The following is an 11,893-nucleotide window of genomic DNA, read 5'->3' as shown; positions in this document are numbered from 1 at the left end:
TCACCTCAATAAAATGCAGGAGATCTTGCCTCTGTAGCTAGTGTTGGAAAGTTTTTGTTATCTGACAAAGAGTTTTGTAATTAACTTATTGCAATAAGCTATAGTCTAGAATGGAAAAGCAGTACAAGAAGGATACAGAAACACCCTTCAGCAGGGCACATGAGGCCTGTTCACAGCCTACCCCTTCCCCACCTCTCCTCCTTCATCTCTCACCTCTACTCCCCAGTCTCTGCATGTGCCTATGTCTCAACCACACTGGAAGGCTTGCTGTTTCCAAACATGCTGTGAATTTCCACAGCCGCTCAGCTTTGCTTCATTGCTTGTATTCTATGAGATGCCGTTGTCCCATCCTTCTATGTGCCAGTCTCAATACCAGGTGCTAAGGATGTAAAAAAAGAAAGCAAGAAAGGAAGAAGGAAAAATACAGACCTAAGACCCAGCTCCTGCCCCCATGACCCCACATTCTGACTGGGCATTCACCTTCTCTGTAGAGTCTGGTTCTGTATCTTCTTCCTACCACCTTCTCTGTCTTCTTTACAAACAAGTGCCAATAAAAGATTCTTTTTCTATACTCTGAAAACACTGTACATGCACCTAGGCCTGCAGTTCTCAACCTTTTTGGTCTCAGGACACTTCGCATGCTTAAAAATTATTTATGAGAAAATCTTTATTGACCAAGGGCCAGGCAAAGAGTTCTTAGACTTGACACCAAAAAGCATAATCTGTAAAAGAAAAATATCAACAAGTTAGACTTTGTCAAAATTTAAAACTTTTGTTAAGAGGATTTAAAAAAATCAGAGACTAGAAGAAAATAGTTGCAAATCATATATTTACAGAAGACTTGTATGCAGAATATAAAAGAACCCTTTGAACTCAACAGTAAGACAACATACAATCTAATGACTACCCAATCTATGGACAAAACTTGAAGGGACATTTAACCAAAAACATAGGATAAGTACATAAAGAGATGTTCAACATCATTAACTCTTAGAGAAATTCAAATACAAGCTAAAATGAATTACTACTACATGCCTATTAGCCTGGCCAAAATAAAAAATACTGACAATAAAAAGTATTGGTGGCCAGGCACATTTGCTCACACCTGGAATGCCAGCACAGCACACTGGGAGGCTGAGGTGGGAGGATCACTTGAGCCCAAGAGTTCCAGACCAGCCTGAGCACATAGTGGGTCCTCATTTCTACAAAATTTTTAAAAATTAGCCGAGTGTGGTGGTGCATGCCTGTAGTCTCAGCTACTTAGGAGGCTGAGGGGGGAGGATCGCTTGAGCCTGGGAGATCGAGGCTGTAGTGAACCATGGTCACACTAGTGCGCTCCAGTCTTAGTGACAGAGTGAAACCCTGTCTTAAAAATTAGGACCGGGTGCGGTGGCTCACGCCTGTAATCCCAGCACTTTGGGAGTCCGAGGCGGGCGGATCACGAGGTCAGGAGATCGAGACCATCCTGGCTAACACGGTGAAACCACGTTTCTACTAAAAATACAAAAAATTAGCCGGGCGAGGTGGCAGGCGCCTGTGGTCCCAGCTATTCGGGAGGCTGAGGCAGGAGAATGGCGTAAACCCGGGGGGCGGAGCCTGCAGTGAGCGGAGATTGCGCCACTGCACTCCAGCCTGGGTGACAGAGCAAGACTCTGTCTCAAAAAAAAAAATAGGCCGGGCGCGGTGGCTCACGCCTGTAATCCCAGCACTTTGGGAGGCCGAGGCGGGTGGATCATGAGGTCAGGAGATCGAGACCATCCTGGCTAACAAGGTGAAACCCCGTCTCTACTAAAAATACAAAAAATTAGCCGGGCGCGGTGGCGGGCGCCTGTAGTCCCAGCTACTCGGGAGGCTGAGGCAGGAGAATGGCGTGAACCCGGGAAGCGGAGCTTGCAGTGAGCCGAGATTGCGCCACTGCAGTCCGCAGTCCGGCCTGGGCGACAGAGCGAGACTCCGTCTCAAAAAAGAAAAAATAAAATAAAAGATAAAATAAAATAAAATAAAAATAAAAAATAAAAAAATAAAAAAATTTTAAAAAAAGTACTGGTGAAGATGTGAAGCACCTGGGTCTCTCGTACATTGCAAATGGGAAGAAAAAATAGTATACTCATGGTGGAAACATAAGGCAGTTTCTTATATGGTTAAACACATTCCCCATATGACCCAGCAAGCACAGTCCTAAGTATTTAGACTAGAGAAATAAAAACACATATATGTACAAAACCTGTACACAAATGTTCACAGTAATTTTATTTGTAACACTGAAAACTGTGCAAATGTTCTTAATGAGTGAATGAATAAATAAACTGTTGTATCCACAATGGATACCATTCCATTGAATGGTATCTATTGATTCAATGGAACACTACTTAGCAATAAAAAAGAACGGACTACTGATACAACTGCTGGGATGGATTGTAAAAGCTTTATGTTAAGCAAAAAACACTCATTTCAGAGGGTTTCATACTGTATGCTCCCACTGGTATAATATTCTTAAAAAGTGACAACATCATAGTGATAGAAGATCAGAGAACACAGGAATTAGGGTTGGGAGGAGAATCTGACCATAAAAAAGGTGATGAGGAAATAGCTTAGTGGTGATGGAATAGTTCTGTATGTTCATCCAAATTAATAGTGACATGTATCTATAAGTGTGATAAAATTTCATAGAACTTCCTCTCTCTCTCTCCCCACTCTCTCTCTCTCTCTCTCTCTCACACACACACACACACACACACACACGAATACATGTAAAAACTGGTGAAATACAAGTAAGATCTCTAGTTAATGGTACTGAATCAAGGTCAACGTTCTGGTTTTGACAATGCACTATAGTTACATAAGATGCTGTTATTGGGGGAAGCTGGGCAAAGGATACATAGGATCTCTCAGTACTAATTTTGCAACTTCTTGACAGTCTTCTCTTTCAAAATTATTAAGTATTATTAAAGAGCTTCTGTTCATATGTGCTATATTTATCAGTATTTACTATGTTAGACATAAATTCTGAGACAGCTTTATATATTTATTTATTAATTTATTTTAAAATAACAGTGAACCAATTATACAATGACATAAATAATACATTTTATAAAAAATGACTATATTTTCCAAGACAAAGCAATGGTGAGGAGAATGGCATTATTTTCCACGTTGCAAATCTCTTTCATGTCTGGCTGAATGGAATACAGCTGCATTGCCCTATCTGCTTCTGCATTCTATCTGTTGTGACTTTATATGTCACCTATGGAAAACTCTACTGTACACTCATGGGAGAAAGAGGGTGAAAAAGGCAAATAACATGTTAGTTTTATTATGCAAAGAGGTTGGGCCTCGCAGATCCCCTGGAAGTGTTTCAGAAATACCCAGGGCTTCCTCACCATATATTGAGAATTGCTGATCTAGGTTAAGGCGAGTCCCATAGTATCGAGCTATTGATTTTTGTGTCTCCACTCCTGTAAGACGGTGAGCTACAGCAGGGCAGAAACTTTGTCTAATTCACCTTTTTCCCTGGAGGCTAGCACTGTGCCAAGTACTTAGCAGAAATTTAATCCACATGGCCAAAAGAACAAAGAATGAATGAAGGAAAGCATTTATTATTCTGTTTTTTTCTTTTGCCTTTTAAGGTCTGTAGGTGATTACAGTTTTTAAAATTTGAAAAGAAAATCTGAGTCTCTAGAGATGTGCTGTTTGTAGAAAGTCAGTTTGTCCAGAAAGCAGCGGAAGGCGGTTGAGAGACTCAATGAGGCAAGCCAAGTTATTTGCATTCATAGTGTTCTGGCTGACTTTTCCCTCCCCTTGTCTCCTGCCATCTCTGATTTTTATGTTCCTTGTCAGGACACGGGAGTACATACAGGATATATAGCATATGTTGCAAGGTCTGGGAGGGCTTCTTTGCAGGACCACAGCTAGGATCAATTAAGTAACAAGGAAGGTAGAAAATATAGCTACAGCTGGAAAAAATCAGTTCGTCAGGCATGCAGGTTGCAACCCATAAAAGGTCAGCAGGCAACTGGAGTGAGTAAGCTGTGAGTGAAGCTTTCAGCTCTGTGGAGCTAGAAGGAGCTGCATGGTCCTGGCATCCTGATTTCCAGTTGGGCACACACGCCATGGATAAGGAAGGTGTGCCGTGGACTTTGCAAATGATGCTCAAGTTGAACCCCAGTTGCATTTTTTATCTGGCTTCTCAATTGTTGTCTTCCTGTTCCCCAGCCCTGTGTGAGTTATTCCACAGTGACAGGTTGGTTTTATGGGTTGAAGGCAGACCTCAACTACTAAATTTCAATGAGTGAAAGAAGCTGGACCTGAATTAAGGGACTTCTTGGAAGGAGGAGTACAGCAGCAGTGATCCCTAAAAATAAAAAGTAAAACTTCATACATCATCTTACCACTCAAGTGTTATAACTGGAGATCAAGTTTCAGGTTAACTTCCAACAATGAGTAACTTCTGAAAAATTGATTAATTACTTACTCTTTGTTAGTTCAGGAATTAGGGGTCATTTTTTCATACTCTGATTCAGTTCCTCCCTCTAAGCTTTTCTCAGGATAATGATTTTATATATGGACAGATATTTATACACAGTCATGCACTGCAAAATGACATTTGGGTCAATGATGGACTGCATATATGATAGTGGTCCTATAAGAGTATATTAGAGCACATAGAGAAACCTGATACGTGGCGCTTGATATTAGCATTGCAAATCAAGTAGGGGAAATGATTCATATTTAACAATGGTGCTGGGACATTTGGTTTTCCATATGAAATAAATATACATACATAAAAATACATATACCATCTACATTTTTGTAAGTATGCTCTATAATGTTTGCATGACAAAACTGCCTAACAATACCATTTCTCAGAACCTATCCTTGTCTTTAAGTAGCATATGACTGTATATATTTTTGTTGTTGTTGTTTTTAAGGGCAAAAGTCTAAACAGATACATGGGAATTTTTTTTAGTGTTCTTACAAAATTAAACACACTCTTCCATTTCCATCAGAGTTCAGAACACAATTAGGGATGGAGACCTGAATTTAAATGAAGGATTTCAACTGAAAATAAGATTGCAAACATGGTCCTAATGATCACATTTGCTAAAAGTTTACGCTTTCATTCAACAAATGATTATCAAAGAACCTCACTGTGTGAGAGTCAGAGACCACAGAAATTAATAAGGTTAGTAGGGTCATTTCATTGCTACCTAAGTAAGATTATGCATAGTAGGACCCCATAGTAGGACTACAAAGAGAAAGATGTTGCCTCTAACAGGTGACTTCACAAAGGTAGAGTTTTAGAGGAGGTCATTGGTTTACAATGCACTTTCACACTCAGGGTATAATTCTTAGAATCTTAAATACCCTGTGAGTTATAATCATCATCATCTTGATGCCGTGTGTTCCTGTTCGGTAAACTAAAGTTAAGAGCTAAAACTGACGCTTGGATTCAGATCCTTCGACTGCAGAACTTTTCCTAAACTACTGCTGGGATGAGAACTAAATGAGACTGTATTTGAAAGTGTGTTAGAAAGTTGTGTATAAAGATCGGGTATTGCCATCAGTAAAGCATTTTCTATAAAGTAATCATTGTAGTGGAGGTTAAAAGAGTATAATCCCTTGCCTTTTTCACACTTTCCATCAACTTTTTGCTTAAGTGCTTTCCTTCTAATTCAGTATTTATTGAGTGCTTGGTATGCCCTGCTTCGTACCTTGTGCGGGTTAAAAGAAAAGTGCATAATAACTTATCTTAGTTCATTTGTATTTGGGAATGAATGCAGCATGGTTCAAAAGGGGACTTTGGACATTAGATGGAAGCAAGTAGATTAGAAAGAGGAGCAGGTTTCTGGGAGAAGTTGATCGTTTCCATTTGGGACATGGAGAATGGGAGGTGCCAGGATCTTCTTTGAAAGGAAGGGCTCAGGACACGGGTAATGATTGGTATTAGAGCTGAGGCAGAGATATCCAACCAGATAGATGAGGAGGTGGCTTCCCCAAAGAGAAATAACAATTTTCTGAATGTGAGGCGGTCTTGGGTAGTGTGGAAATGTGGGTTCTTCTGAGAGAGAAATGCAGAATGTGTTCCAGAAGCACTTGTTGTGTGAATCTGCTGGGCTCTGGCGTCCCCTCTCTGAATGTTTTTTGCTGGAGCGAAAGAAGCATTGTAGGTAGCATTCCACTGAGCCTTTAGTCTATTCCACTGGAGTCTGAAATGTTCACCAAGATAGCCAGAAGCCCGGAATCAAAGCAACAGCAGCTCTGGATTACAAATGAAGGGCAGGAATGCAAGTGAGAGACAGAAAGTTGAGAAGTGAGTGGAAGTTTTTTTTGTTTTGTTTTGTTTTGTTTTTTTTGATGGAGTCTCACTCTGTCACCCAGGCTGTAGTGCAGTGGCGCCATCTCGACTCACTGCAAGCTCCGCCTCCCAGGCTCATGCCATTCTCCTGCCTCAGCCTCCCGAGTGGCTGGGACTACAGGCGCCCGCCAACACACCCAGCTAATTAATTTTTGTATATTTAGTAGAGACAGTTTCACCGTGTTAGCCAGGATGGTCTCGATCTCCTGACCTCATGATCCGCCCGCCTCGGCCTCCCACAGTGCTGGGATTACAGGCGTGAGCCACCGCGCCTGGCCAGTTGTTCTTTTAAGATCATGGGAAGGGAGTCCACAATAACAGGGAAGCAATCCTGCTCTTTTCCCTGGAAAACTTTGATAGTAAGGGAAGTCAAAAACATTTAACCCTAGAACTCAGAGATCTTTTATTCCCATCATGATTTATCCATCATATTGTGGTTATTTGGGGGAACCAATATGGTCCTCTGTGGCAAAGACCCCACTAGTTTGTAGAAGCATACTTTGTATATTAATACTGGATATGGTATTGGTATTAAGCTTGGATATGGGGCTGAGTTTTATACTTAGGTACATGAAGGGGCAAAAAGGATGAGAAGAAGCATTTTGTTGTGTGTATGTAAAATTAAAGAGTAGGAGCACCAGTCAGAAATTCTCTGTTCTTCCTTTCTTTTTCTATTTCAGAGGAGGTTGAAGAAATTTAAAAAAGCCCTGATTAGTTCAGGATAGGAAAGGTGGGCTGCAAAGTCAGCATGAGTCAGTGTTGAGTCACTGTTCTTATGAAATAAAGCTCATGTTTGCCAAGGTGGAAGGGAAGAGAAGGGAATTCAAAGACTGCTGAGGAGGAAAACTCCTTGCCTGGACAAGAGTAAGTTATCAAAAAGCCTGGGCATGACTTTGCGTGAATCAGTTGTCCAAAGAGACCACTTGAGCCTGTTGATCCAAGTAGATCCAGAGCAGAGGGGCCCACTCCACAACCCCTGGGAGTGCATTAAAACTAGTTTCCACCTCAGACCTACAGAATCCACTCTCCCCAAGGGATTCAGAAAGCTGTTTATTTTAACAAGTACCCCAAGATGTTTACACTTCCTTAGAGACAGAAATCTCTGATTATCCAGCAGCCCGTAGGAGCAAGAGACTGTTTTAGCTCTTCTTTGGAAAATGCCAAATCGTGCCTCTTTAATACAGCTGGTTCTCAAGTGTTTGGATAGGTAAATTGATCAGATCAAGTAGGAGTGGCCATGCACGGTGATATAGTTTGGCTGTGTCCCCTGCCAAATCTCACCTTGAATTGTAATAATCCCCACGTGTCAAGAGCAGGGCCAAGTGGAGATAATTGAATCATGGGGGTGGTTCCCTTCATACTGTTCTCCTAGTAGTGAATCAATCTCACAAGATCTGATGGTTTTACAAATGGGAGTTCCCCTGCACATGTTCTGTTGCCTGCTCCATGTAGGACATGCCTTTGCTCCTCCTTGCCTTCTGCCATGATTGTGAGGTCTCCCCAGCCATGTGGAACTGGGAGTCCATTAAACCTCCTTTTCATTTTAAATTACCCAGTCTTTTTGGGTATTTCTTCATAGCAGCATGAAAATGGACTAATACACAGGGTGTAAATATAGTAGGGACTTTTCAATATGAGCATGGTGTTTAGGGCAGTGCAGATGTCAGGCTGGGCAGAGCTGTTCTAGAGGAGCAGAGATCTAGGAGCAAGTCCCTGGGAAGGGAGGAAAAGAAGAGCACACACAAGACAAGCTTCTTGTGATCCGTATTTTTGACATGGACTGAGGAAGGTGCTTTGGAATTGAGAAGTCAGAGCAATACAGAGGAGAGGCCCTGTGGCATCAGGTGCAGCTAAGACAGTCTTGGGTTCCAGTTGTGATTTATTTTGCTGTTTCAGATCCTGGTTCTGCCAGAGCTTCAAGACGTTGGGTCAATGACATCATCTCCCTACGCCTCAGTTCCTGCTCTGCATGACGGGAGCACCGAGGCAGACCACAGCCCCTCTTCCAGACCCTCCTGGTTGACTAAAGCAGCATGGATACATGACCAGAAGTCCAGAGTTCGCATGGCTCGGGGAAATGAATTTTAGCCAGGAATGAGAGAGGAGGCAGGAGGAGGAAGTAGCAGTTTTACCACATTTACTGACAAGCTGTGCGATGTTGAATGAGTGGCAATTGTACTGCAGGAGCATGAATTTTCAACTGACTAGCCCAGCGACACCTTGAAAAATGGCTTTTTTTATTTTTATTTTTATTTTTTTTCCCAGCCCAGCCCTCCTGGCAGAGAATTTTCAAACTGGAAAGAATCTTAGCTTAGGCAATTTGACGCTTCATTCTGCAGGTGAGAACCTTCAGGTACAGGTCTACTTGACACTAAAGTTCAAGAACTGCAATTCCAAATTCCTGAGCCCATGAACTTTTTCCCCCTAGTTTTGTCTCAGCCAACAGAACCAGCCATGGAGCTCGCTGGGTAACATTTGCTCTCTGGCTCACTGACTTTCTAGACTTCAGGGCATATTCACTTCGATACATTGTACAAATTAATTTTGTTTCTAAAATAGGAGTGGTAAATAAGGATGACTAGGGGCAGTCCTGATTTTTATGTGCTAAACATTTATGGAAATATTTACAGTTTTAGTCAAGGGTGGCAGGGTCTGGGGAGGCGTTATGAGGGAGGGGAGAATGGATTTGCCATAGCAACAGAAGTGAGCATGTGACATGCTTTCCTTTGTTTCTGAGTTGCTGGAGCACTCATTCGGAAGTTGGAGGTGTATCCTACAATTCGCAAGTTGGGTTCTTTCCTCTTCACATTCTCCCTCTTTGTTTGGTCAAGTTGTTCACCTGTCACACTCAAGTTTCTGCACTGAGGACCGGGAGATCTGCAAAGGCTTCTTTCCTTTGCTGATACACTGGTGAACTGTGGGGACACACATAGAGCCAAGCCTCCCAGGGCTGGGGTACTAGTTTCCTAGGGCTGAGTGGCTCAAGCAACACAACTATGTTCTTTCATAGTTCTGAAGGCCAGAAGCCTAAGATAGAGGTGTCAGCAGAGCCACACTCCCTCTGAAGACTCGAGGGAAGAATCCTTCCTTGCGTCTGGTAGCTTCTGCTGGTTGCTGGCTGTCCTTTGCATTCCTTGGTGTGTGGATGTGTCACTCCAGTCCCTGCCTTCATCCTCATATGGCCTTCTTCCCTGTGTGTCTCTGTGCATCTTTTCTTTTTCTTAGAAAGGGCACATCCTAATTCAGTATGACCCATCTGAACAGATCTAATTACATTTATAAAGATCCTACTTCCAAAGTTCATGTTCTGAAGTTCCAGGTGGACATGGATTTGGTGGGGAACAATATTCAACCCAGCACAGTTGGGGTTTTAGTGGTGCTTTTGAAGTGAGTCCTTCAGCCTGTGTCCTATAGCTCTTGTATTTGTTCTTTCCCAGATTAGAGGGGTTGACTCCAGATCTCTCCAGGCTCAGTCCCTATCCATCTCCTCTAAGTCCAGGCTCTTTGTTTCTTGCTGACCAAAACCTTTGGCATCACAAAGAACATTTAGACGTGAGTGACTGGAATCTTGTCTGCTCCCACTTCCCCATAAAGAAGTCCATCTCCAATGTATTTTCCTCCTCCGTGCTCCACCTGCACCAACCACAGCTTCTTACAACCTGCACTTATAACTATCCAGTATTTTTCAAACTGGGTTTCCCACATTCACTCCTGGAGGCTTCTGCTCTGCCTTGAATGCCTCTTTCCCATTTCCAATGCTTCCAACATGATGACTCAAATTCTATGATGCATTCCTCTTTTCCCACCCACCTTGTGTTTCATCAGCATATTGCTCATACTTCCGTTATAGCACTTGGCACACTCTGCCAAAATCTATTTTGGGATCTACTCCCTTTGGGCTCTCCACGTGTTTGTTGAGTGACTACTGTAAGCCATTTACTATTAAAATCGCTGAAGACCAGAAAGAGAGCAGATATATGTCACTGTGCGTTGGACGTAGTCTTAGTGGAGAAAAAGCACAGCGTGAGGCCATAAGATTATGAGGCGAACCCAGCCTAGGGTGGCTGGGGAAGACTTCACAGGGAGAGGAGGAGCAAACCACAGTGCTCAGGACGTGTATGAAAGAGTTTGCTGTTAAACAAGTAGGGCATGGGAATTCCTGGGGAAGGCAGGTTGAATACCCACCTACCTGTGCTGTGTGGGGAACCCACACATCTACCTAGAGCAGTGAGGAAGTTCTAGCCCCTCTGCCTCCATCATCTCTCTGATCTTTAAACCTTGAGAGTGTGTTCCTGCTCCAAGCTCTTGCCCTTTTGGTTCTTTCTGCCTGGAACATCTTCCCTGAGGTCTTCAGGTGGCTTGTACCTTTACAACTCCCAGGCCTCAGCACAACTATCACCTTTTCCCAACTCTCTGCTTACATGCTAGCACGAAACAACATCCCTCATTCCTGTACTCTCTGTCATATCGCCCCATTTTATCTTTTTCTTAATACCATTCTCTGAAATTATCTTGTTTACTTATTTGTTTACTTATTTTCTTTGTCCCTACCCAGTAGACTGTCAAGTTCCATGAACGGCCTTATCTGTTTTGTTCACTTTTGTGTCCCAAGTACCTAAAAGACAACCTGGCACCCAGCGGGCACCCAGCCAGTGTGGAATGAAAGAAGAAACAGCCCCCTTTGCTGTCAGATGCCAGGAGCGTAATGAGCAGAGCACTCTGTGATTTTCTTGCCCTTATCAAACATGGTCTTTGTTAATCCCTCACAAAGACACCGTGCTCTTAACATTTATAGGGCTCTCTCATCCATTTTCTCATTGAAGACTCTCAGCCTTCCAGGCAGGCCATGTATTATCAGCCGTGTTTTGTCGGGAAGCTTTTCACATATCTGGCAGGTGGAACTGAGGCCTCCTGACCCAAGGCCAGCCTCCCTCCATTACCCTCCCTCCCTCACTGCAAAAGGGCCCTCCCTGTCCATTACAGAGTCTCCACTTTGTAGTCTTGGACATAAGGAGATGGCTCAACTTCTTGGCACACTGGGCTCCAGGTCGGATATTGATTCAAATAATGGCCGCTAAGCCTTAAGTTGCACTTAGGAGTAACTGGAACAATCTTGCTCTGCTCCTGCCTCTTAGCTTTTCCCCAGCAGACCTTGAGACTGGTCCCAGCCCTCTTTTTGGTTTCAGAAGCTCTCTGATTCCAATTCCACTACACCTGACAGTGGCTTCCGTAGAGGTTGCTGCTTCCAGTTTCTGCAGGAATTAGGAGTTCTGGTGAGAGGTAGACAGGGGGCATGGGCAACAGCTTTCATCCATTAGCTGTCACTCACGCAGTGCTTTTGGAAGAGTTCTTCCTTAGAAGATGAAATGATCCTCTTCTGGAGATTTCTCTTAATAAAATCATCCAAAACACAGAGCAATGCAGTTTGGTTTTGAATAATTGGATACAGCCTAAATGTCCAACAATATGGGAATGGTTAAAAAATGAAGAGTGATCAACCCATGGAATGTTACCATTACAAACGTTGAATAGAAATAT

The 11,893-nt window shown here is 42.9% G+C and overlaps 2 annotated features.

Moving 5' to 3' along the window:
* Positions 6,026–6,568: an enhancer, noted in NCBI's record as "H3K4me1 hESC enhancer chr4:17032946-17033488 (GRCh37/hg19 assembly coordinates)". NCBI's record gives its function as "activates a minimal SCP1, AML or CMV promoter by ChIP-STARR-seq in primed H9 embryonic stem cells {active_cell/tissue: H9 hESC(primed)}" and the evidence as "EXISTENCE:reporter gene assay evidence [ECO:0000049][PMID:30033119]".
* Positions 9,619–10,818: an enhancer, noted in NCBI's record as "P300/CBP strongly-dependent group 1 enhancer chr4:17028696-17029895 (GRCh37/hg19 assembly coordinates)". NCBI's record gives its function as "activates an origin of replication core promoter dependent on BRD2, BRD4, P300/CBP, MED14 and CDK7 cofactors, with strong dependence on P300/CBP, by STARR-seq in HCT116 cells {active_cell/tissue: HCT116}" and the evidence as "EXISTENCE:reporter gene assay evidence [ECO:0000049][PMID:35650434]".

Source organism: Homo sapiens, chromosome 4 (assembly GCF_000001405.40).
Source record: "Homo sapiens chromosome 4, GRCh38.p14 Primary Assembly".
Lineage (NCBI taxonomy): Eukaryota > Metazoa > Chordata > Mammalia > Primates > Hominidae > Homo > Homo sapiens.
The sequence above is the reverse complement of the archived record's forward strand: the minus strand, read 5'-3'. Positions and strand labels throughout refer to the sequence as shown.